The 25,549-nt window shown below is 43.5% G+C and overlaps 1 protein-coding gene across 11 annotated transcripts in view, besides 11 other annotated features; it reads right to left on the reverse strand.

Moving 5' to 3' along the window:
* Positions 1-19,688, reverse strand: part of PPP4R3A (protein phosphatase 4 regulatory subunit 3A) — a 53,047-nt gene extending 33,359 nt beyond the window's left edge. For 7 of the 11 annotated variants that reach the window (NR_169191.1, NR_169192.1, NM_001284281.2 and 4 more), the window contains exon 1: positions 18,640-19,444. Coding sequence is in view for 7 of the 11 variants with exons in the window: in NM_001284281.2 (NP_001271210.1) it covers positions 18,640-18,781 (142 nt within the window). In the remaining 4 variants the exon portion in view is untranslated. Of the gene's footprint in view, positions 1-18,639; positions 19,445-19,662 lie in introns of those variants that run through there. The other 4 variants (NR_169193.1, XM_047431561.1, XM_005267842.3 and 1 more) reach the window with 2 other exon arrangements.
* Positions 3,993-4,142: an enhancer, noted in NCBI's record as "active region_8922". NCBI's record gives its function as "activates an Ori minimal core promoter by ATAC-STARR-seq in GM12878 lymphoblastoid cells {active_cell/tissue: GM12878}" and the evidence as "EXISTENCE:reporter gene assay evidence [ECO:0000049][PMID:35858748]".
* Positions 4,624-4,833: an enhancer, noted in NCBI's record as "active region_8923". NCBI's record gives its function as "activates an Ori minimal core promoter by ATAC-STARR-seq in GM12878 lymphoblastoid cells {active_cell/tissue: GM12878}" and the evidence as "EXISTENCE:reporter gene assay evidence [ECO:0000049][PMID:35858748]".
* Positions 6,704-6,867: a silencer, noted in NCBI's record as "fragment chr14:91963914-91964077 (GRCh37/hg19 assembly coordinates)". NCBI's record gives its function as "represses an EF-1alpha promoter that drives an FKBP-Casp9 reporter gene in an ReSE screen in K562 erythroleukemia cells {active_cell/tissue: K562}" and the evidence as "EXISTENCE:reporter gene assay evidence [ECO:0000049][PMID:32094911]".
* Positions 18,044-18,695: an enhancer, noted in NCBI's record as "H3K27ac hESC enhancer chr14:91975254-91975905 (GRCh37/hg19 assembly coordinates)". NCBI's record gives its function as "activates a minimal SCP1, AML or CMV promoter by ChIP-STARR-seq in primed H9 embryonic stem cells {active_cell/tissue: H9 hESC(primed)}" and the evidence as "EXISTENCE:reporter gene assay evidence [ECO:0000049][PMID:30033119]".
* Positions 18,454-18,503: a silencer, noted in NCBI's record as "silent region_6027". NCBI's record gives its function as "represses an Ori minimal core promoter by ATAC-STARR-seq in GM12878 lymphoblastoid cells {active_cell/tissue: GM12878}" and the evidence as "EXISTENCE:reporter gene assay evidence [ECO:0000049][PMID:35858748]".
* Positions 18,696-19,346: an enhancer, noted in NCBI's record as "NANOG-H3K27ac-H3K4me1 hESC enhancer chr14:91975906-91976556 (GRCh37/hg19 assembly coordinates)". NCBI's record gives its function as "activates a minimal SCP1, AML or CMV promoter by ChIP-STARR-seq in primed H9 embryonic stem cells {active_cell/tissue: H9 hESC(primed)}" and the evidence as "EXISTENCE:reporter gene assay evidence [ECO:0000049][PMID:30033119]".
* Positions 18,696-19,443: a biological region, named in NCBI's record as "NANOG-H3K27ac-H3K4me1 hESC enhancer GRCh37_chr14:91975906-91976556".
* Positions 18,754-18,813: a silencer, noted in NCBI's record as "silent region_6028". NCBI's record gives its function as "represses an Ori minimal core promoter by ATAC-STARR-seq in GM12878 lymphoblastoid cells {active_cell/tissue: GM12878}" and the evidence as "EXISTENCE:reporter gene assay evidence [ECO:0000049][PMID:35858748]".
* Positions 18,824-18,923: a silencer, noted in NCBI's record as "silent region_6029". NCBI's record gives its function as "represses an Ori minimal core promoter by ATAC-STARR-seq in GM12878 lymphoblastoid cells {active_cell/tissue: GM12878}" and the evidence as "EXISTENCE:reporter gene assay evidence [ECO:0000049][PMID:35858748]".
* Positions 19,164-19,443: an enhancer, noted in NCBI's record as "active region_8924". NCBI's record gives its function as "activates an Ori minimal core promoter by ATAC-STARR-seq in GM12878 lymphoblastoid cells {active_cell/tissue: GM12878}" and the evidence as "EXISTENCE:reporter gene assay evidence [ECO:0000049][PMID:35858748]".
* Positions 19,504-19,703: a silencer, noted in NCBI's record as "silent region_6030". NCBI's record gives its function as "represses an Ori minimal core promoter by ATAC-STARR-seq in GM12878 lymphoblastoid cells {active_cell/tissue: GM12878}" and the evidence as "EXISTENCE:reporter gene assay evidence [ECO:0000049][PMID:35858748]".

Below are 25,549 nucleotides of genomic sequence, written 5' to 3' on the forward strand. Positions count from 1 at the left end.
TACACACATATTTCCTTAAAAAAAATAATAATAATTTTTTTTTTTTTTTTTTTAATGAGACAGGGCTTCTCTCTGTCGCCCAGACTGGAGTGCACTGGCACGATCCTCAGCTCACTGCAACCTCCGCCTCCCAGGCTCAAGAGATTCTCCTGCCTCAGCCTCCCAAGGAGCTGGGATTACAGGTGTGTGCCACCACACCAGGCTAATGTTTTGTATTTTTAGTAGAGACGGGGTTTCACCATGTTGGTCAGGCTGGTCTCAAACTCCTGACCTCAGGTGATCCACCAGCCTCGGCCTCCCAAGGTGCTGGCATTACACCCGTGAGCCACTGCGCCTGGCCTCAAAAAATATTTTTAAATATTTTTTCACTTTTTGTAGAGATAGAGTCTCGCTATGTTGCCCAGGCTGGTCTCCAACTCCTGGGCTCAAGTGATCCTCCCACTGCCCCCTCCTCCCAAAGTGCTGGGATTGCAGGTGCAAGCCACTGTGCCCGACCATATTTCCTTTTCTGAACATTTGATGCAAACTCAACTTCAGTTACAGAAAAATTATTATTATTGGGGACAGAGTCTCACTCTGTTGCCAGGCTGGAGTGCAGTGGCGCGATCTCGGCTCACTGCAACCTCCGCCTCCCAAGTTCAAGCGATTCTCCTGCCTCAGCCTCCTGAGAAGCTGGGAGTACAGGCATGTGCCACCACGCCCAGATAATTTTGTATTTTTAGTAGAGATGGTGTTTCACCATGTTGGCCAGGATGGTCTCAATCTCTTGACCTCGTGATCCACCAGCCTTGGCCTCCCAAAGTGCTGGGATTACAGGCGTGAGCCACCACGCCTGGCCTAGAAAAATTATTTTTAAAACAAGGTAAGTTTAATTACAGTAACTTGTAACCTAAGAAATGTTTTTCTGAGATAGGGTCTCAGCTCTGTTGCAGTTGTGCGATCTCAGCTCACTGACTGCAACCTCCACCTTCTGGGTAGTTGGGACAGGTGCCAGCTACCATGCTTGGTTAATTTTTTTACTTTTTGTACAGACGGGGTCTCCCTTTATTGCCCAGGCTGGTCTCTGGGCTCAAACAATCTACCCATCTTGGCCTCCCAAAGTGCTGGGACTACAGGCATGAGCCACTGCACCCAGCCAATAAATGTTTTATATACGTGCTTACTTTTAGCAGTAAAGACATGATAATCTGACGAGTAAGGACTGGGTAACAATAGAAATCTACTAATTTATGGACAGCAGAAGGTAATTAAACAACACAGTGTGAAGTCAGATGATCTGGGTTAAAATCTCTTATATATTGTATGACTTCCCATACCCCTCTCCTCTTATCAACCAGTTCTAGTTTATACCTGCAAGTACTACCTGAAGACAAACTCTGGCCCAAAATATTTGAGAAAAAGCAGTTTTCTCTGCAACTGTCTCTCATACGGAGCTTTCATTTCTTCTATTACACTTAACAATTGCTTTACCCATTCCAAATAGTGGTTAGATGGCTAAGAGTGCTCTTAACATTTCCAAATTTAGTTTGCTTTTACATCAAAGTTCATTTGTTTTATGAATGCTGTCCAGTATTAATGATTTAATGACCATTCACTACTGTGTGCTCAGAACAGTACCAAGTAATACCGAACACAGTAAATTAACCAAGTTATGATAACTCAATTTGTATATGTCTTATGCACATGAACAGCTTTCCACTTCACACCAACCCTCCCAACTATGTCTAGGACAGGTGACCTAATTAATCCAAAATCTCTTTCTTATCCTTTGAGTGCTTAAGGTAACTAAACATTCACCATATTATTTTTTCCCACCTGTATTCCCCACAAACCCCATTTCTTTGGGCTTTTTTTCTTTACAAAAACTGGTTTTGGCTTAGGACGCTCAGATAAGCATTCTCACATTTTGGAGAAAATACTGTTTTAATCTTCTTCCTCTTTATCCAACTTTTGCCAGATTAATCAAAACACATTTTCCAGTGCCCCTTCAATTCTCTTTACGCTCAATTTTCAGGATTTTATTTTGGTTATTAAGAGCTGTGCTAGTGATACATTCATAACAAGAAAAAGCAGCAGGTGGCCAGGTGCGGTGGCTCACACCTATAACCCAGCACTTTGGGAAGCTGAGGTGGGAGGATCGCCTGAGGCCAGGAGTTTGAGAACAATTTGGCCAATAAAGCAGGACCTTGCCTCTGCAAACATAAAATAACAATAAAATAAAATAAAAATAAGAAAAAGTAGGCTGGGCGTGGTGGCTCACGCCTGTAATCCCAGCATTTTGGAAGGCTGAGGTGGGCAGATCGCTTGAGGTCAGGAGTTTGAGACCAGCCTGGCCAACATGGTTAAACCCCATCTGTACTAAAAATACAAAAATTAGCCGGGCATGGTTGCTGTGAGCTGAGATTGCATCACTGCAATCCAGCCTGGTCAACAGAGACTCTGCCTCAAAAAAAAAAAAGAAAAAGAAAGAAAAAATAAATTAGCTGGATGAGGTAGGGCATGCCTATAATTCTAGCTACTCAAGAGACAGGCAGGAGGATCTCCTGAGCCCAGAATCTCAAGACTACAGTGAGCCATGATTGCGCCACTACACTCTAGACTGGGTTCTAGACTGGGTGATAAGAGATCCTGTCTCAAAAAACAAAGGCAAGGTGCAGTGGCTCATGCCTGTAATCCCAGCACTTTGGGAGGTCGAGATGGGAGGATTGCTTGAGGCTAGCCTGGTCTCATATATAGGATGGTGAGACCCCATACTATATATTTTTAATATAAAATTTAAAAAAGGTATAAAAATCTCCAACTATCTTTGTAGTCTTTCATTATTTTAATTACTAGAATAAAAATTGCATTCTATTATTCTCCACGGAAATCATAAAGTATATAAAGTACATTATGGATCAATATTACTTTTTTTTTTTTTTTTGAGACGGAGTTTCACTCTTGTTGCCCAGGCTGGAATGTAATGGTGCAATCCCGGCTCACCACAACCTCTGCCTCCTGGGTTCAAGTGATTGTCCTGCCTCAGCCTCCTGAGTAGCTGGGCATGTGCCACCATGCCTGGCTAATTTTGTATTTTTAGTAGAGACAGGGTTTCTCCATGTTGGTCAGGCTGGTCTTGAATTCCCAACCTCAGATAATCTGCCCGCCTCGGCAGGCAGGTGGGTCACTTGAGGTCAGCAGTTCGAGACCAGCCTGGCCAACATGGTGAAACCCCGTCTCTACTAAAGACACACAAAAACCTACTTTGAAATACAACTCATATTCTCAGACACAATCTATCTCCATAAAATTACAAAAGTAAAATAGAGTGAAAGAATTGCATTACTTTAACAAATTATATTTCAGAAGATGCAAGATCTCTAATGGCATAGGACCCAACTAGGAAACGCTTCTCTAAAAGTTAAAACTGCACAAAAGTACAACCTATATAAAAGAAAAAATTGGGCATCACAATTAAAAATTTGTTTGTGCTGCAAACAATACCATCAAGTAAAAAGAAAGCCCACAGAATGAGAGAAAAGATTTGGAAAGCATATATCTGGTAAAGGACTTGTATCCGGAATATATAAAGGACTCTTACAACTCAATATTAAAATGTGGGCAATGAATTTGAATAGAAATTTATCCAAAACGGATATACAAAAAACTAGTAAGCATATGAGAAGATGCTCAGCATTAGTCATTAAGGAAATGCAAATCAAACCCACAAATAAGGGCCAGGCACGGTGGCTCACGCCTATAATACCAGCACTTTGGGAGGCTGAGGCAGGTGGATCACTTGAGGTCAGGAGTTCGAGACCAGCCTGGCCAAAATGGTGAAACCCCATCTCTACTAAAGACACACAAAAAATTAGCTGGGCATCGTTGTGCATGTCTTTAAACCCAGCTACTCAGGAGGCTGAGGCAGGAGAATCACTTTAACCTGGGAGGTGGAGGTTGCAGTGAGCCAGGATTGCACCACTGCACCCCAGCCTGGACGACAGAGACTCTGTCTCAAATGAAAACAAAAACCAAAACCACAAATGAGATACCATTTAGTACCCACTAGAATGTCTACAATCAAAGACAAGACAATAACAAGCGGTGACAAGGCTGTAGAGAAATGGGAAGCTTCATACATTGCTTCTGGGAATATAAAATGAGGCATCAATTTTGGAAAAGTTTGGCAGTTCCTTCAAAAGTTAAGCAGTTACCTTGCAATTTCCCTTCTCGGTATATATCCAAGAGAAATGAATACATGCCCAGACAAAAACTTGTACATTTATATTCACAGCAAGGTTATTTACAACAGCAAAAAATGAACAGATAAATTCAATGTGGCATATACTCAGCTACACAGAGTAATGAAAACCTAACACATTACAATATGTATAAACCTTGAAAACATATGAAATTAAAGAAGCCCATCATAAAATACCACATGTCCAGATACATAATGTGTGTGTGTGTGTGTGTGTGTATGTTTTTTTTTAGACAGTCTCTCTGTCGCCCAGGCTGGAGTGCAGTGGCGTGATCTGAGCTCACTGCAGCCTCTGCCTCCTGGGTTCAAGCAATTCTCCTGCCTCAGCCACCTGAGTAGCTGGGACTACAGGCACATTCCCAGTCCAGATAGGTAAATTTAGAGACAGAAAATAGATTAGTGGTTGTTTAGGGCTGGGAGGAAGTGAAAGTGGGTAGTGATTGCTAATGGGCACATGATTTTTTTCAGAGGAGACAAAATGTTCTAAAATTAGATTGTGGTGATGGTTGCAAACCTGTGATTATACTAAAAAACAATGAATTGTACATTTTGAATTGGTGAATTATATAGTATGTAAATACTGTTAAAAAAAAAACAAAAAACAGGTGGAGTGCAGCCTAGGCAATATAGTGAGACCTTGTCTCTATAAAAAAATTTTAAAAATTAGCCAAGTGTGGCAGCGCACGCCTGTAGTCCTAGCTGCTCAGGAGGCAGAGGTGGGAGGATTGCCTAAGCCTTGGAAATGCAGGTTGCAGTGAGCCAAGATCATGCCACTGCACTCCAGCCTAGGCAACAGAGCAAGACCCAGTCTCAAAAAAACAAAACAAAACACACACACACACACAAAAAGGTAAACTGTAAAGTATAAATATTCATACAATGGATACCACGAACAATGTTAATATATGAATCAAAGAGTAAACACAACAGATATTTTACAAACCTGAGTAAAAGACAGCTGAGACAAAGGTATAAACCATAGAATTCAATTTACACAAAGCTCACAAAGTGGCAAAATTAACCTATCATTAGGCTAGCAGTTTTCTCTGGGTAGGATAGTGACTGGGGAGGAACCTGAAGTAGGCTTCCAGAGTAGTGGTTATGTTGTTTTTTCAATGGTGTGCTGGTTATTTTTTGAAAATTCATCAAATTGAATACTTATGATTTGTGTACCTTTTTGATGTATTATACTGCAATTCAAAAGTTTTTTTAAGTTTAAGAAGTCAGAAACACATAGCACAGGGGATTGAGGTTGTTATTCAAGTTGTGCTTTCAAGAAACACACGCCTGATTTTTACAGTCACTAAAACAAAAAACACGGCAGTGCAGTGGTATGACATTGTCAGCCACCTAATCCCTAATAGCAATTATTTCTCAAGTACCAGTCTCTTTTACATTTTCTTCAAAACTCTCTTAGTAGTGTTTACAGGATCAGGATAATAAGAAAGAGGGAAAAAAAGGTTTGACGTACTCCCTTCCAAAGTTCTGGCTAAAACAGGACACACTAGAAGCTTCTAGTGTTGGGAAATGTTTTTCTGGTCTATTCAGGATATTAGAGGGAAGTATCCCCTGAAACTCTCTTTTCAGCCATATCACAGTTTTGGTCTAGGAAGTCCAGCTCTCATCCCCAATACCATATTCCCAAAGAGATAAGTAGGCTATAGAGGCTAGAACACCGGAAAGTCTTTCAACTTGAGGGCTCAGTAAGACAATAAATAAAAGACACAATACTAGGTTTATTCCTAGTCTATTGGGTTTCCCTCCATCACCTAATAGGTTTTATTGAGCCAAGTTATAAACACTAAACCAATCAACTATAACAGATCCAGTTCAGTGTTAATATCAATTAACACAATCCTTACCCCCAACAAGTTTGTTTGTATTTTGTTGCTATAGCTACAGTATTAGGCACAGTAATTCTATCCTACTAAGGTATGGGTATGGATGGGGATATAGAGCTCAACTTTAGGAGAGGAATTTATTAAATAACATGGTAGCAGAGATGACAGGCGAGAAATGATGATCCTTAGCAGGAGACCTCAGCAACATTAAGAGGGAGGCAGAGAAGGTTCTAACTAAGAGCAACATGTTTCTGATAACAGTTATGTCTAGTGGAACTCAATAACTGAAGCACACACTCAAGACAGACCCCATTCACCCCAACTCATTTGAGAAACACATCTATCCTCTCCAATGAAACAGATGCCCTTATCTCCCAAGAGGAATCTTTTATTTACACACACACACACACACACACACACACACACACACACGATACCTTTTCCCACACATCTGAGAAAGACATTGTCACAAAGACCAAGGAAAGGAAATCCTACACTCCAATTCAAGAAAACTCCAATATTGAGACTTGAGAAAGAATGAGAAAGGAAACACAGAGAAAAATGAAAATCAAGAGAGTGCTCAAGCTAAGTGGAATGCATCAGTACAATTAGATCTGCCACTGTGGAATCTATCATTCCTAACAAGTTCTAATGTCTACTAATTGATATGTGCACTTGGACTTTCTCAAAAAAATAAGGTGTCCTTAATACTCATTTACCAGTACCAAGACTGAAAATTGAATCATCTTCACCTACCCAACTTTTAAACACATACTACTCTTTGGGCCAACTATTCTTCTAGGAAATTACCCTACACCCTCAGATAAGTGCCAAGGTATATGGATAAAGATTTCATTAGGAGAGTCTGTAATGGCAACAAACTAAAAACAATCTATACCAGCTGTTCTCAAAATGTGATCTGAGGACACTATGGGGCCTGCAAAGTCAAGATTATTTTCAAAATGATACTACAAGGTTACATGCCTTTTCCACCATTAATTCTCTCAGAGTCTACACTGATACTGCCAAAGACTGAATGCAGAAGCAGATGAGAATCTTTCTGGTTTTTTAAAAATTAGGCCAGATGTTGCAATTTGTAAAAGTAGGCCAGGCATGGTGGCTCATGCCTGTAATCACAGCACTTCAGGAGGCCAAGGTAGGCGAATCACTTGATGTCAGGAATTCGAGATCAGCCTGGCCAACATGGTGAAACCCCGTCTCTACTAAAAATATAAAAATTAGCTGGGTGTGGTGGTGCATGCCTGTAATTCCAGCTACTAGGGAGGCTGAAGCAGGAGAATTGCTTGAACCTGGGAGGCAGAGGTTGCAGTAAGCCAAGATTGTGCCACTGCACTCCAGCCTAATTGACAGTGAGACTCTGTCTCAAAGAAAAAAAAAAAAAGACACTCTTCTCATTAAACTCTTATTTTAGAAAAGTTATTTTTTCTTAATGATATTTTGTTAACATGCTAAGTTAGAACATTATTTTTAAGTGATTTTTTTCCTAAAGTCTGTTTTAATTTCTAATATGGTAAATATTGATAAATACAATCCAAATAAACATCTGGGGAATCCTCAATTTAAGAGTATAAAGGTATCTAGCTGGGCGTGGTGGCACGCGCCAATGACCCCAGGTACTTGGGAGTCTGCTATGGGAGGATCACTTAAGCCTGGCTAATTTTTTTGGCTGGGCGCAGTGGCTCACGCTTGTAATCCCAGCACTTTGGGAGGCAGAGGCAGGTGGATCACGAGGTCAGGAGATCGAGACCATCCTGGCTAACACGGTGAAACCCCGTCTCTACTAAAAATACAAAAAATTAGCCAGGCGTGGTGGTGGGCGCCTGTAGTCCCAGCCACTCGGGAGGCTGAGGCAGGAGAATTGCATGAACCCGGGAGGCGGAGCTTGCAGTGAGCCGAGATGGCACCACTGCACTCCATCCAGCCTGGGCGACAGAGTGAGACTCCAACTCAAAAAAAAAAAAAAAAAGAAGCCTGGCTAATTTTTTTATTTTTATTTTTAGTAGAGACAGGGTTTCACCATGTTGGCCAGGATGGTCTTGATCTCTTGATCTCATGATCTGCCCCCGCCCTGGCCTCCCAAAGTGCTGGGATTACAGATGTGAGCCACCACGCCCAGCTGAGACCTCTATCTCTACAAAAAATAAAAATTTGCCAGGCATGGTGGTACAGGCCCATAGTTCCAGCCGCTTGGGAGGCTGGGGTAGGAGGATTGCTTGAGGCCAGGAGGTTGAGGCTGCAGTGAGCTCTGATCACACCACTGCACTCCAGCCTGGGCGACAGAGCGAGACCCTGTGTGAAAAAAACAAAATAAAATATAAAAATGAAAACAAAACAAAAAAAAGTCTAAAGGTATCCTGAGAAAAAAAGTTCGAGGAATGCTACACTGTGCCACCAACAAGCTACTGTGTGAATAAGTACAGTGGAATACTACACTACTTTTAAATGAGATCTGTGTATCCTGACATTAATTGATGTCCCAAATATACTGATAATAGAGGTGTTTACAATTAGGAAATGGGAAAACAATGTCAAAAGGAGAAATGCGACTCAGAACATCACCAAGACAACTGCAGGTAGAAACTGTCACATTCCAATAGCAAGAAAAAATATAAGAAAGGCCAAGGCGGGCGGATCACAAGGTCAGGAGTTCAAGACCAGCCTGGCCAACATGGTGAAATCTCATCTCTACTAAAAATACAAAAATTAGCTGGGCATGGTGGTGCGTGCCTGTAAATCCAGCTACTCGGGAAGCTGAGGCAGGAGAATCGCTTGAACCCGGGAGGCAGAGGTTGCAGTGAGCCGAGATCGCACCACTGCACTCCAACCTGGGTGACAGAGCGAGACTCCACCTCAAAAAAAAAAAAAAAAAAAAAGTTCCCTCCCTGCTTCATATCTTGGTTCTTCCTATAAAATGAAATGTGAGGCCCTTTCTTGTAGGGTGCTACCAACCCCCACCAAAACACAACACAACACTACACCTCTGGGGATTGGAGATAAAGATGGCTGGTAGTACAGAGTGAGGTATCCTTCTAACAAAGTCTACATTACAGAGAACTCAGCAAATATTTTTAAAAGGAAAGGTTTTGCATAAAAATTATAGATTTCTTGCCAGGTGCAAGTTAATACAACAAGATTTATAGTTAAGAAAAAAATAATACCTACCTCACAGGGTTGCCATTAGCATTAACTGAAATTTTTTATTCAAGTGCCTGTCCCAATATGTAGTACATAACCAGCACTCAATACTTTTTTTTGAGACGGATTTCACTCTTGTCAGGCTGGAGTGCGGTGGCACGATCTCGGCTCACTGCAACCTCCACCTCCCGGGTTCAAGTGATTCTCCTGACTCAGCCTCCAGAGTGGCTGGGACTACAGGCGCACACCACCACGCCCAGCTAATTTTTGTATTTTTAATAGAGACGGGGTTTCACCATATTGGCCAAGATGTTCTAGATCTCCTGACCTCATGATCTGCCTGCCTTGGCTTCCCAAAGTGCTTGGGATTACAAGCTGAGCCACCGCGCCTGGCCTCAATACTTGTTTTTTTAGGGCATCATCATACAGTCATTTCACTGGTAACACTGTACTGTTGTATAGCAGGAAAACGAGTATTAATAATGACCCATAAACACCAAGCATTAATAATGACCCATAAACACATTACGAATAAGAGGTTAACCAATATATTCATTTACTGTTTAGGAAAAACATTCCAGTACACATTTAGTCAACATTCCATAAAAAAATTACTGACTTTTAAAACTTATGGTAGGCCAGGCATGGTGGCTCATTACTGTAATCCCAGCACTTTGGAAAGCTGAGGTGGGTGGATCACTGGAGGCCAAGAATTGGAGACCAGCTCAAGACCAGCCCGGGCAACATGGCAAACCCTGTCTCTACAAAAAATGCAAAAATTAGCTGGACATGGTGGTATGTGCCTGTAGTACCAGCTACTTGGGAAGCTGAGGCAGGACGACTGCTTGAACCCAGAATGTTGATGCTGCAATGAGCTATGATCACACCACTGCGCTCCAGCCTGGGTGAAAGACCAAGACCCTGTCTCTAAAATTTAAAAACAAAAAAACCCAAAAAACACCTTCTGGTACACAGCTTTTATTCATCTGGAAAATTCACTTGTTTAGAAGATTTAACTTCCTCTCACTGAAGAAACGAGATAGTATAGAGAATTCCTGTAATTTTTATGGTTTTATCTTCACTATCAACCAACTAGACTCAGGTAGCAGGGAAGTAATATGGGAGTGTTTGGGTTTGGGTTTAAGTAACTTTGGTCTTCACCACAGCCCTGATTTGGATAAATACTGAAGGATTTCAGAAAGAAGAGCTACACCCTTGTCACTCCTAAGCAAGCAGCTCAACCCATCAGCTTCTAGAGTATATTGTCCTTATCAATATTCAAGGCTTAAGGCAGGGACTTATGTACTATGCTTCATTAGTAGAGAGAATGCACCATCAAAAATGAGTTAATGCCAGCCTGGGCAACATAAGGTGACCCCATCTCTACAAAAATAACAGAAAAAACTAGCCAGGTATGGTGGTGTACACCTGTGGTCCCAGCTACTTGGGACACTGAGGTGAGAGGATTACCTGAGTCTGGTGGTCAAGGCTGCAGTAAGCCCTGATCACTGCACTCCAGCCTGGACAAAAGAGTGAGATCCCGCCTCAAAAAAAGAAAAGTCAATGGGGCCCAAAATCTCATGTAGGTGGGAGACTAAAGTGTGCTTTTTTTTTTTTTTGAGACGGAATCTCGCTCTGTCACCCAGGCTGAAGTGCAGTGGCGCGATCTTGGCTCACTGCAAGCTCCGCCTCCCAGGTTCACGCCATTCTCCTGCCTCAGCCTCCTGAGTAGCTAGGACTACATGCTCCCGCCACCAAGCCCGGCTAATTTTTTTTTTTTTTTTTTTTTTTGGTATTTTTAGTAGAGATGGGGTTTCACCATGTTAGCCAGGATGGTCTCGATCTCTTGACCTCGTGATCTGCCCATCTCGGCCTCCCAAAGTGCTGGGACTACAGGCGTGAGCCACCGCACCCGGCCAAGACTAAAGTATGCTTTAAACCCGTAACAGGTATGTGCTCCAAGTCCTTCTTTCCTGACTTTTCGGAAAAAAATTTAAATGCCTCATTACATAGTGGCATTTAAAAACTAAAATGGGCCAGGTGTGGTAGCTCACAGCTATAATCCTGGCTACTCAGGAGGGTGAGGTAGGAGCATTGCTTGAGGCAGGAAATTCAAGACTAGTCTGGGCAACACAGTAAGATCCCACCTCCCCTGAAAAAATTTAAAAATAAATCAGCTGGGCCTGGTGGCATGTGTCTACAGTCCCAGCTACTTGGGAGGCTAAGGTAGGAGGATTACTTGAGCCTAAGAGTTTGAGGCTGCAGTGAGCTATGATCGTGGCACTGCACTCCAGCCTGGGTGACAGCAAGACCTTGTCTCTAAATAAACAAACTTTTCAAAGTGAAATACTTCCCCTTGTACCGACACTGAGCTCTTCTTGATAAATATACAGAATGCTTGGCATATACAAGATTCTATACTACTGACTGATCTGTTCATTTCTCTCACAGCTCTTACCCCCAAAAGCTTTTCCACCCTAAGTGTTCTGACCTCCTTTTCTAATCACAGTAGGGATAGAGGCAGACCCACCTACAATGAACATGGAGTTCTATCAAGAGGCAGAAACAGCACAGAATCCCAGTTTTACCATTCGCTAGCAGTGCTGCCTTGAACAAAAACATTTCTCCATGTCTCATTTTCTTCATGCCTCAAGTAACAGTGAGAATTTAACCTGTTTAACTCTAAGATATGAGTCAGAGAACAGATAAAACTATTTTGAAATGTAAAGAATACTTTATAAAATTCAAGGTAAAAACTCAATGTAAGCACACTATTCTGGATGCCTTGGCAAGTACTTCGTAATAAGGAGCACAAATATGATTATGGCCAAAGACACTCTTCAGTGTGTGGAGGAATTCCAACTCCCTTACATTTCTTTCTTTTTTAAATTTTTTGTTTTTAGAAATAGGGTCTCATTCTGTCACCCAGGCTGGAGTGCAGTAGCATGACCAAAGTTCATGGCAGCCTCAAACTCCTGGGCTCAAGCAATTCTCTGGCTTCAGCCTCCTGAGTAGCTAAGACTACAAGTATGTGCCACATGCCCAGCTAATTTTCTAAACTTTTTGTGGAGACAGGGTCTTGCTATGTTGCCCAGGCAGGTATCGAACTTCTGGCCTTGAGCAATCCTCCCCCACCTTGGCTTCCCAAAGTGCTAGGATTACAGATGTGGGCCACTGTGCCCGAGCTACATTTTTTTTTTTTCTGAGACAGGGTCTTGCTTCATCAGCCAGGCTGGAGTAGTGGCTCAGTCACAGCTCACTGTAGCCTCGACCTCTGGGCTCAAGCAATCCTCCTGCCTCAGCCCCAAGCAGCCGGGACTACAGGTGTTTAACACCACACATGGCTAATTTAGAAATTTTTATTTTGTAGAGATGGGGGGTCTCACTTTGTTCCCCAGCCTTGCATTTATCAACTGTAAAACTGGCAGGTGGATATGGTAAAAATCATAATGGTGAAAAGTAGTACAAAGGGGCAGAGGGAGAGAGAGTATCAGGAAGAATAGCTAATGGATGCTGGGCTTAATACCTAGGTGATGGGTTGATCTGTGCAGCAAACCACCATGGCACACATTTACCTATGTAACAAACCTGCACACGTACCCGGGAATTTAAAATAAAAGTTGAAGAAAAAACAAAAGAAAGAAAAGTAGTATAATGATTTCACCACAAAGGGAGAGCATAAGCAAGGTATGAAATTATTATCCTTACTTCAAGTTAACAGACACAGCATACACTGAAAGAATTAAAAATAAAAACAAAATAATCTGAAATGGAAGATGGAACTTTGCAGGTATACGGCTATCATAAAAACTGAGAGAAATAAGGTAATCTATCTTCCTTAAAGAAAAGCATGGGCCAGGTGCGGTGTAATCCCAGCACTTTAGGCGGCCAAGTGGGAAAGATCACTTCACATCTGGAGATCGAGACCATTCTGGGCAATACAGTGAGAACCTTTGAAAAAATTCAAAAATTGGACCAGGCATGGTGGCTCATGCCTGAGCCCAGGAGTTCGAGACCAGCCTGGGCGACAAAGTAAGACCCACCCCCTTCCATCTCTTAAAAAAAAGAAAAAAAAAATTTTTTTTTAATTACCCAGGCACAGTGGTGTGCACCTGTAATCCCAGCTAGGTGGGAAGATCAACTGAGCCCAGAAGTTTGAGGTTACAGTGAGCTATGATCCTGCCACTGCACTACAGCATGGGCAACAGAGCTCTTAAAAATTAAAAAAAAAAAAAAAAGAAAAGAAAAGAAAAGAAAAAGAGCAGGGTGCGGTGGCTCACCTGAGGTCAGGAGTTCGAGATCGGCCTGGCCAACATGGTGAAACCTCGTCTCTACTAAAAACACAGAAATTCACCAGGCGTGGTGGCAGGCACCTGTAATGTCAGCTACTCGTAAGGCTGAGGCGGGAGAATCGCTTGAACCCGGGAAGCGGAGGTTGCAGTGAGCCGAGATTGTGCCATTGCACTCCGGCCTAAGTGACAAGAGCGAAACACTGACTCAAAAAAAAAAAAAGAAAACAAAAAACAAAAGGGACGTGTTCTTACAACCTATTTTGCCAGCAGAAACCTACTGGATAAAGATGCAATCCAAGAAATGGGCCCAGAAGCTTAGTGGGACATCCCTTTTCCTCTAAAGCAAGGTAGGTTGAGTGCCAAGTTACTCGGTTTTGGAAGGGAAGGCATACAGTACTTACCATGACAGATCTGCTCTGTAACATGAAGGCCACAAGTACTTCCATTTAGAAATTCTCTTCTGTGATTTTTAGACGAGCATATAAGCTCCCCTAACAAGAACTGAGCCTACAGTTGAGATAGCATTATTATAGCTTCCCCGTCCACAAATATAGACCCAATAATGAGAGAATTTTAAAACTACCCAGCCTTTCTATACCCATGCTAACACTATATACATTATAAAATTCCCAAACGCTTTGTCATTACTAAGTAGTGTGTACAGTTTAAAATGAATTGCCTGAATTTGAATCCCAACTCATACCATCTTAATAGATGAATGACTTTGGACATGTTGTCATCCTTTCTGAGAGAACTTATTAAAAAAAAGAAACGCGGCCGGGTGTGGTGGCTCACGCCTGTAATCCCAGCACTTTGGGAGGCTGAGGAGGGCGGATCACCTGATGTCAGCAGTTCAAGACCAGCCTGGCCAACATGGTGAAACCGTGTCCCTACTAAAAACACAAAAATTAGCCATGCATGATGGCAGACGCCTGTAATCCCAGGCTTGAGGCTTGAAGCATGAGAATCCCTTGAACCTGGAAGGTGGAGGTTGCAGTGAGCCAAGATGATGCTACTGCACTCCAGCCAGGATGACAGAGATTCTGCCTAAAAAAAAAAAAAAAACACACACCATTTATTTCACAGGTATGCAAAAGCCCCTATCACACTATCTCTAGCACTGACCACCAAATTAGCTGATAGCCTATTTCTAAGGTGGATGATTAACACATCACAAAAACTTAATTTTACAGACAATAAATACTTGAAAAGTGTTAAGAATCAAATATTTATTTTGTTCTAAAGAAATAATCTGAAAATCAAAAGTTTTTTTGGGGAAAAGCTACAAGTAATTTAGAAAAGAAAAACTTCAACACAATAATGACTAGGTCTAGCCCAAGTATGGAAAAGCGCAATAATTTTAAGTTTCTATTGGACAAATGACTCAATTTATGGAAAATCAGAAATACTTTCCATTTTGCTCATGACAACAAAAAGAAAATATCAATTATCCTATGATGGAGAATGGAGCAAGCACACAATAATGGCTGACCCCAACTGGCAGTCAACACAAAAACATCCATGTAAAGCTTGTAGATAAACTATAATTGAAATTTTTTTTTTTTTTGAGACGGAGTCTCGCTTTGTCACCCAGACTGGAGTGCAGTGGTGCTGATCTTGGCTCACTGCAAGCTCCGCCTCCTGTGTTCACACCATTCTCCTGCCTCAGCCTCCTGAGCAGCTGGGACTACAGGCGCCCGCCACCACACCTGGCTACATTTTTGTATGTTTTTAGTAGAGACAGGGTTTCACCATATTAGCCAGGATGGTCTCGATCTCCTGACCTTGTGATCTGCCCGCCTTGGCCTCCCTAAGTGATGGGATTACAGGCATGAGCCATTGTGCCCGGCCGAAAATATCTTTAGGCTAAAAGTAATTTTCATTTTCTTTGAAATAAACCTTCAGGCTAATAAAGCAGCAAATGCAAGTAGACAGTAACATGGGAGTTTAATATGGTTAATAGCACTAAATCAGACACTGTTGTAAGAATTACGTAAGTCAATATAAGTAAACTGCTAAAAGAGTTTGGCACATAGTAGGTAGTCAGTAAATTTTGACTTATTATCCCTATTTAGATGTGACAAGAAATGTTAATCATCGACTAAAGATTACTGACAGTATTTCACAAGTATCCTGGAATTTTTTCTAAGTCCATGGTGTGTGTGTATGTGTGTTTGTGTGTGACAGGGTCTCCCTCTGTCACCCAGTGCAGTGGCATGATCACAGCTCACTGCAGCCTCCACCTCCTAGGCTCAAGTGACCCTCCCACCTCAGCCTCCAGAGCAGATAGGACTACAGGCCCGTGCCACCGCACCAGCTAATGTTTGTATGTTTTGTAGAGATGGGGTTTCGCCATGTTGCCCAGGCTGGTCTTGAACTCCCGAGCCCACACAATCCGTCGGCCTGGGCATCCCAAAATGCTGGGATTATAGGCGTGAGCCACCGCACCCAGCCTAAGTCCATTCTTTGCATTCAGTTTTCCTTACAGCCTAAATTTACAAGGGCACATCAGTAATTTAGTTAAGCTCTCCCTGCTAGATAAAAATTAAAGTCATTTTGTTTTAGTCATTTAACCTCCAACCTGCAAAATGGAGGAAGAGAGATTTGTGGCTATTTCCAAAATGGTAAAAATATAAATGGAGGTTCGGCGCAGTGGCTCACGCCTGTAATCCTAGCACTTTGGGAGGCCGAGGCGGGTGGATCACCTGAGGTACAGAGTTCGAGACCAGACTGGCCAAAATGTTGAAACCCCGTCTCTACTAAAAATACAAAAAAATTAGCCAGGCATAGTGGCACATGCCCATAGTCCCAGCTACTAAGGAGGCTGAGGTAGGAGAATTGCTTGAACTCAGGAGATGGAGGTTGCAGTGAGCCACGATGGTGCCATTGCACTCCAGCCTGGGAGACAAGAGCAAAACCCAATCTCAAAAAAAAAATCTATACATATTATATATACTATATAGTATATATACTATAATTATATATACTATATAGTATATGTACTATAATTATATATACTATATAATATATATACTATAATTATATATACTATATAGTATATATACTATAATTATATATACTATAGTTATATATACTATATAGAATATATGCTATAATTATATATACTATAGTTATATATACTATATATTATATATAGTTATATATACTATATATTATACATACTATAGTTATATATACATGTTATACATACTATAGTTATATATACTATTATATATACTATAATAATATATACACGGAAAAAAATTGCTTATATTAATTATGCAGAAAAGCATACTTCTGATAGTACGACATTAAACTTTTATACTTAAAAATATCTTAAAGGATTTTTTGTATAATGAATCAAATTAAACACATGATGTGAAGGTTATATGTATTATTTTTAATATGGATTTCAATAAATTGATCTCAAATCTACATATGCTTTCAGCTGGGATGGGGGTCATGCCTGTAATCCTAATACTCCGGGAGGCCGAGGCGGGTGGACTGCGTGAGGTCAGGAGTTTGAGACCAGCCTTGGCAACAGGGCAAAATCCTGTTTTTATTTTTTTGAAAGTAAAAAATTAAAAAGAAATCTACGGATACTTTCATCTCATAAGAAGCTGATACAAAAAGTCCATACCTTCCAACATACTATGTAAAGTTTTCCAAATGTGTGAAAGATCTAGAGTAGGTTATTATGTGAGTCACATACAAAATTACACTAACACTTGACATTCAAATTGTATTTTAAGAAGCCAATAACTCAGGCCCAGAAAAATACACCCAACATTCAAAAATTTTTAAATGCCTCCAAAAGAAAATAATTTCTCTCCAGATTTAAGTTACTTTGGGTAACCTTATAACCTGTGGGCAATATACTCCAGATTACCACTTTCAATTTAAATAGAACATCAATATTCCCAGAGTCTTCAATTACAGAAGGGCTAGTCTTGTTGGTTTTTCATGGAATTGGAGTTCTGGGGAGAGTCCAATTGAAGAAAATTCCTTGAAATTAGTTTGCAATAATTCAGATACAGAATCGCTACAATCATAATAAACTGGCATCGTTAGCAACTGCAAAATATAAACTAATGTACAAAAAGAAGTGGAAGATAACTTACTTTCACGTTTGGAAGTAACAATTTGAGAATAGTTTTACCCCACTTGAGTATTTTAAGTGAAATTCACTGTATATCGCCAAAAACAGTGGCAATCCCTACAGAGAATAAGCCTTTTAAAATATGAAACAGCACATGTGGAAAAAAGAAAAAACGTGAAACACTTATTTTCAAACAACTTAGTCTTTGAACCTTGAGGGCTGTTTCAAAATTTGTGAAGCATAAACACTAGGGAAGATCCGAAAGGTTTTAAAAATTATCTGCCAACTTCTCTGCACCTGTTAACCAAATTATGAACACCCATTTAAGCAATCAAAAAAAGCTCATATGATTCCAACTTTGCAAGATGTTTATATAGTAAGCTACACACAAAATTCTGCATTACTATAAAAAAGACAACCAACACTGGTGAACGAAAATCTTCGCAAGGGAAAGCGTTTTCTCTTAGTGTAGAGTTGCCAGATACAGTGTTGCCAAGCTTCAACACGATCAGAAACATGTAGCAAAAAGATGTTTAAAAAGAAAAACAAAAAAAGCACAGCAAAACGTTCTTCAAAGTGTGAAAGGTCCAAGAACTTTCTTAGCTCCAAGCAAAGTTTCATGCCTGCTTTACAGATGGGTGAACTAAGGCAGCAGATCGGATTAATCAGTGTCTTTCTCAAGGTCACTCTAGTGCAAAAGAACAGCACACTCCGGACTCCCTATCTCAGGTCCTCGACCTCTCCACACTCCAGGGCGGCACAGCTCAAACACGCTTGGCTCTCCTCGTACCCAAAATGCCACCAGGCACTCAGAGAAAGGAAACATTTCAAGCGCTCTCCGGGGAGCTCCCGCAAGACTGGGGTACCTGGGGCCCGTCCTCCCCCGAGGTGGCCGCCCTCCCCAGCCGTCCCTCTGTTCTCGTGGAGCGAGCGCCATGCCCCGCAAGAACCAGGGAGGCGGCCCAGGGCCGTGGGGGCTGCGAGGGTCCCGCCGCGCGGGGCTTCACTTACCGTCGCTCTCAGCCCTGACAAGCAGGGACATGCCCTTCAGCCGCTCCACGTAGCCAGACGACACATGCCCGGTGCCCCGGTCGTCCCACTGCCGGTCCTCGTTGAGCGTGTACACCTTCACCCGCCGCCGGGTGTCGGTCATCGTGCCGCCCGGGAACCGGGGCGGGGGCCCCGCCAGTAGACGCCCAGGAAAGGGGCCCTGGAGAGGCGAGGGGCGAGGCGTGAGGGCGCCCGCGAGCGGAGGGCTCCCCGGCCTCACTGCCGCCGCTGGGCGCCGCGGGGCCGCGCCGCCGCCTGCATGGCCCGCTCCAGGGACCGAGCTCTGGGCCGCCGCCTTTCCTCGCCTCCGGCTCCCCGGCGCTATTGTCCAGGCCTGGCGAGCCCGGCGCCCGGCAGCCCCGAGGGGGCCGCGCAGCGCTTCGTAGCCTCCCGCCCCGCAGCGCTAGGAACTCGGGGCTCCCGTCACTGCCCTGCTCCCGCCTCCGCCATGATCTCCGCGAAGCAGCTTCCCGCGCCGCCGCCGCCTCCTCAGGCCGCCGCCGCCGCCGCCATATTTTCCTTCCTTATACCTGGCCCTGCCACCGCGGCCAGTGGCTCCCTTCCGCTCCCCCTGTTTTAAACGTCAGAAGCCGACAGGCGCCTGATCCTGCTGCAACTGCTACCACTGCCCGGGAGACTCTGAGGGCCCCCGGCCGCCCAAGCGACCCGGACTAGTGGAAGTCGGTTTCCCTCCGCCGCCGTCTCTTCCGTCTTCCTCACACAGCCAAAACCGCCGCCATCTTGGTTCGCCCCTCAAAAGCGGCGCGCGGGGCCACCCAGGGAGCAGCTGCAGGGGCGGCTCGTAGCCCCACCATTTAAAGAGACAGCAGCGAGACCGGGAGCCTTACTGCGGCGGAGGCTTCCGACGGAGGCGGGAGGCGGGCGCGGAGTTGCCGAGGTGGCGGGAGCGCAGGGAGCGGAGGAGGCGGGACGCAGATTGCGCCGGTGACAGCCCGAGGCTCCCTCCCGCCTCCTTGCACGCACCGTCGTGCGAGCGCTGGGCGGTGTGTGCGTCCGTCGCGCCCTGTGTTCGTCATCAGCCCCGCTCCAGGATGCACGAGGGGCGTGGATACGTTTGCGGCCTCTGCCCGCGGGCCCCGGCGCTTCGGCCTCGCCTCCGCCCGCCGCCACCTTCCCTTGTTCCTGCCCCGTCCCTGCCTCTGCCCCTGCCCCTGGCCTGCGGACGCCGGGCAGCGTGGGCCTGGGCCCCTACCCGCTTCCGAGAGCGTTTTCCCGGGGCCGCCTTTATGGCTGAGTCGGGCGCTCGGGACCCACCCGGCGCCTTGCGGACTTGAGGGAATGAAATGGAAACGCTTCCGGGGAAGGTCGCGGGTGTGGGCGCCTAGGTCGGCGCAGCCTTGGGAGCCGCCGTGGGTCGCGGACTGGCGTGGCCAGTGTGGAAACTTGGGACTGTTTGCGATTTCTGGGCGTGGGACCGAGTTCCAAGTGACAATTCTAAAACTTCACCTTACAGCCTAGGCAAGCCCCAAGTGCTCCATTCCTTCATCCCTATCAGAACTGTCTGCCAGCCTTTCTTGTCGGAAAAGGAACTTAAGGCGCTCACAAAAACAAATGCGACACTGTGTAATCGGGAGGAGTAATTCTCAGCATTAGGTAGTCCTGTGTTTTGAAGACCTACTTGATGTCAAGTATTGTTGATCTTCACAAAGGAATATCATTCTCGTTCCTATCATGCAGCTCATATGCCACCATTTTGGTGGCTTTTACCATTTGCCAGGCCTTGCCAGGTCGGGCTTGTCCGCTCGGAATATAATGCAGCCACACACATAACTTTAAATTTTGCAGTAGCCACAAAAAGTACGAAGAAACTGGTGAAATTAGTGTTAACGTTTTAGTGCGGTATTTTCAAAAGTTATTTCAATAATCAAATTACTAATGAGATATACGTACAATGTCTTAAAAATGTGATATATTTTGTCCTTCCAGCAAGTCTCTGTTGGGATACTAAATTTTCATCAGAAATATCTACGTTTAGATTTTATTGAAAAAAAATTTTTTTTGAGACAGGGTCTCTCTGTCACCCATCCTGAAGTGCAGTGGCTCAGTCTCAGCTCACTGCAGCTTCAACCTCCTGGGCTGAAGCGATTCTCCCATCTCAGCCTCCCAAGTAGCTGGGACCACAGGTGCGCAGCACCACTGCCAGTTAATTAATTAAATTTGTTATTATTTTTTTTTTTCGGTAGAGACGGGTTTCACTGTTGCCCGGGCTGGTAGAGTTTATTAAATTTACAGTTGAAAATGTAGATTCACATATTCTGTTATTCCAATCATACTTAAAAGTTTTCCAAAAGCTGAATCAAGTATCAGTTTTTAAATTTAGCTGGGCGCGGTGGCTCACGTGGTCAAGGAGTTCAAGACCAGCCTGGCCAACATAGTGAAACCCCGTCTTCACCAAAAATACAAAAAAATTAGCCGGTCATGGTGGTGTGCGCCTGTAGTCCCAGTTACTCGGGAAGCTGAGGCAGGAGAATCCTTGAACCCGGGAGGCGGAGGTTGCAGTAAGCTGAGATTGTGCCACTGCATTCCAGCCTGGGCAACAAAGCGAGACTCTGTCTCAAAAAATAAAATAAAATAACAATTTAAATTTAAAAATTAAGTAAAATGAAAAATTCAGCTTGTGAGTTGCACTAGCCAAAATTTGAAGGCCTGGTAGCCACATGTGGCTAGTGGCTAGTTTTGGAAGGTTCGAGTGCTTGACATTGCCAGGAATCTTTTAAACTTGCAATGTGGCCGGGCGCAGTGGCTCACACCTGTAATCCCAGCACCTTGGGAGGCTGAGGCAGGCGGACTGCTTGAGGCCAGGAGTTCGAGACCAGCCTGGCCAACATGGCAAAACCCTGACTCTACTAAAAATACAGAAATTAGCCAGGTATGGTGGTGTGCGCTTGTAGTCCCAGCTACTTGACTGTCTGAGGCACGAGAATCCGCTTGAACCTGTGGAGGCGGTGAGTGCAGTGAGCCGAGATTGTACCACTGCACTCCAACCTGGGTGTCAGAGCAAGACTCTGTCTTAAAAAAAAAAAAGAAAAGAAAAAGAAGAAACCTGTAAAGTAACTGGTGTTACACCCATCTATTAGGAAGGAAGCTAATAGCATGAACAGGGCTGAGGGGTTTCTGGGATACAGGACTTTCAGTTTTAAAATCCTTTAGAAGTTGGGACCTTCCTCCCCAACAACTTAAAATATAAACAGGGCGCGGTGGCTCACGGCTGTAATCCCAGCACTTTGGGAAGCCGAGGCTGGCGGATCACGAGGTCAGGAATTCGAGACCAGCCTGGCCAACATGGTGAAACCCCCGTCTCTACTAAAAATACAAAAATTAGCAGGGCACGGTGGCGCGTGCCTGTAATGCCAGCTACTCGGGAGGCTGAGGCAGGAGAATTGCTTGAACCCGGGAGGCAGAGGTTGCAGTGAGCCGAAATTGCACCATTGCACTCCAGCCTGGGCAACAAGAGGGAAACTCTGTCTCAAAAAAACAAACCAAAAAAAAAACGATAGAAACGAGTGCTTGCAAAGACCAGTCGGAAACTCATTGTTCACAAACAAAACTGGAAAATTATGAAAACAAAGCAGTCGCTTTTTCTTTAAAAAAAAAAAAGGCAACAATTTATTTACGTATTTTGAGGTGGAGTCTCCTTCTGTCACCCAGGCTGGAGTGCAGTGGCACGATCTCAGCTCACTGCAACCTCTGCCTCCTGGGTTCAAGTGATTCTCCTGCCTCAGCCTCCCAAGTAGCTGGGATTACAGGTGCCTGCCACCACGTCCAGCTAATTTTTGGTATTTTTAGTGGAGACGGGGTTTCACCATGTTGGCCAGGCTGGTCTCGAACTCCTGACCTCAAGTGATCCATCTGCCTCAGCCTCCCAAAGTGCTGGGATTACAGGTGTGAACCACCACGCCTGGCCAACAATTTCAAGTATTAGGGCATGAGAGCAATTTTGTCAATTTTTGATGCAATGAAGACATCAGTAAATTTATTCATATGCTAATACTTATTTGATCCCCAAACCAAACATGAAATACTTTGTAGAAAATAATAAAGTAAATTAAAAAGAAATTATTTAGTATATGGAATAAGGTTAAAAATTATAGTTTATGGAACATACCATAAAATATTAGATTTAAATGAAATTTAATACAATACAATCTTAACAGTTCTATGAGTCTAGATTCTACCAGAGAAACAACCAGTAGAATACATCTACACAAGGATGGAGAGAGTTATCTCAAGAAATTTGTTTGCATGATAGTGCAGTCTGGCTAGGCAAGTCTAAAGTATGTAGGACAGGTTAGCAGCAGAGGGGAAGCTCTGAGGCAGGAGCTGACACTGCAGTCAACAAATTCTTCCTTGGAGAAATATATTTGCTCCTTTTTTTTTTTCTTTTGAGACAGAGTCTCACTCTGTCGCCCAGGCTGGAGTGCAGTAGCACAATCGCAGCTCACTGCAACCTCTGTCTCCCCAGGTTCAAGGAATTCTCATGCCTCAGCCTCCCAAGCAGCTGGAACTATAGGTCTGTGCCACCATGCCTCGCTAATTTTTGTATTTTTAGTAGAGATGGGGTTTCACCAAGTTGGCCAGGCTGGTCTCGAACTCCTGACCTCAAGTGATCTGCCTGCCTCAGATTCCCGAAGTGCTGGGATTACAGGCTTGAGCAACCACACCCAGTCCTGATTTGCTTTTAAGACCTTTAGCTGATTGGATGAGACCCATCCAGATAACTTGGGATAATTTTCCTTTAAAGTCAACTGGTTGTGGATGTTTAATCACATCTACAAGTACTCCCACAGCAATGCTTAGATTAGTGTTTGAATAACTGGGTAGTATAGCCTAGCCAAATTGCCAGAAGAGCTGGGTGTGGTTGTTCATACCCATAATCCTCGCATTTTAGGAGGCTAAGTGGGAGGATTGCTTGAGGCCAGGAGTTCGAGACCAGCCTGGGAAACCCTATCTCTACAGAAAATACAAAAATTAGCTAGGTATGGTGCTGTGTGCCTGTAGTTCCAGCTAGTCAGGAGGCTGAGGCAGGAGGATCCCTTGAGTCCAGGGGGTAGAGGCTACAGTGAGCCAAGATCACACCACTGCACTCCAGCTTTGACAACAGAGTTAAACCCTGTCAGTAAGAAAAACAAACACATGCAAAAAAATAAATTGCCACAAAACTAACTTATAATAATTTAATCATATTCCATGCACAAATGGTGATATGGTTAAGAAAATTCCTAATGGAATTCAATAAGGGAGGTTGCAAATCACAAAAGGCTGAGATACGTTGTCTTAGTGGTCAAGCGTGTGGAGGATGGATCACCAGTCCAGGTACTGCCTCTTAGCAGTTGTGTGACATTTCCAAGCTTCTTCAGCTCTCTGTACCTCAGTTTCCTCATTTGTAAGATAGGAATAATGTTAACGTCTAGGGTTGTAAGAAATAAGAAACTGATTCTTCATTCTTCCTGTGCTCTAAACATAAAGCTTTCCCACTGAACCTTTGTACCTTCACCTGCATGCATAACATAGATTTGTAAAATATGTACTGGAAGGAGCCTGTTCATTATGTAGTATCTGTACCTGTTTATGTTACTTACCTTGATCCATGTTGCATTCATCATTTTATAATATTGCCTGCCTTAGGTTTAAAATCCTGGAAAGGACAGGGACAAGGCTGCTGGCTTGTACGCTGCCCATATCCAGAAGGTGCCACCAACGTAGATGACCTCTGTGTTTGCCAGTGAAGATAATGTTGTCTGTATGGTGAAAAGGGCATACCACCAGAAGTTAGAGGAGTTGAGTCCTCATTTTGGTTCAGCCACTAAGTTGGTGGTCTAGGATAAGACCTTAGCCTTTTTTGGCCTTAGTTTTCTAATCCTGATAAGATGACTTAAAATTTTTTAAAATTTATTTTTATTTTATAAATATATTTTTTATTGACACATAATATTTGTAAATATGAGGTACAAGTGATATTTTGTTACATGCATAGAATGTGTAATGAGCAAGTCAGGGTATTTAGAATATCTACCACCATGAGCATTTATCAATTCTGTGTGTTGAGAACATTTCAAGTCCTCACTTGTAGCTATTTTGAAATGTACAATACATTGTTGTTAGCTATAGTCACCCTACTGTGCTACAGAACATTGTAACTTATTCCTTCTGAAACGACCTTTGCAAAATTATGACAGTAAAAGAAATCTGACATAGTGGACTCCATCTTGTGTCTGACCCCCAAGCTGTCCTTTGTCATTCCTGGGCATAGGCCAAGCTAGCTTTGGGAGGAATTCAGTTTATAGTTTAACTTGAAAACAAGGACAATAACAATTCCTCCCTAAAACTAACCCCTTCCTTGCTCAGGGACAGAAAACTGCATTTTTAAGACTAATGAAAGGCCACAAGAATAGCATTATGGGAGGAGCATGAACTCTGCTAAAACGTAGGCATAATTTCTATAACCCATTACGGCGCAGGAGTCCTGTGGCCGGAGGTCACAAGACTTGTGACCTTCCCAATTGCTCCTATAGATAACAACAATATTGTTGAACCTAAGATTGTTTTTTCTGAGATGTTTTTCAGACTGACCCCACCCAGACTCATGACTCAACTGGTCCTGTGACCCCACCCAGAGGCGGACTCAGCACACACCTTTATGATTTCATCTTCAAGCAGTCAGCAGTACCCATTCCCTAGTCTCCTGCCCACCAAATTGTCCATAAAAACCCTAGCCTCTGAGCCTTCAGGGAAACTGATTTGCGTGATAACTCCAGTTCTCACAAGTGGGTGGCCTCTAGTCAGTTACACTCTTTCTTACTGCAGTGCCGTGGTCTCAGTGGATTGATTTTGTCTGTGCAGCAGGCAGGAA

Source organism: Homo sapiens, chromosome 14 (assembly GCF_000001405.40).
Source record: "Homo sapiens chromosome 14, GRCh38.p14 Primary Assembly".
NCBI lineage: Eukaryota > Metazoa > Chordata > Mammalia > Primates > Hominidae > Homo > Homo sapiens.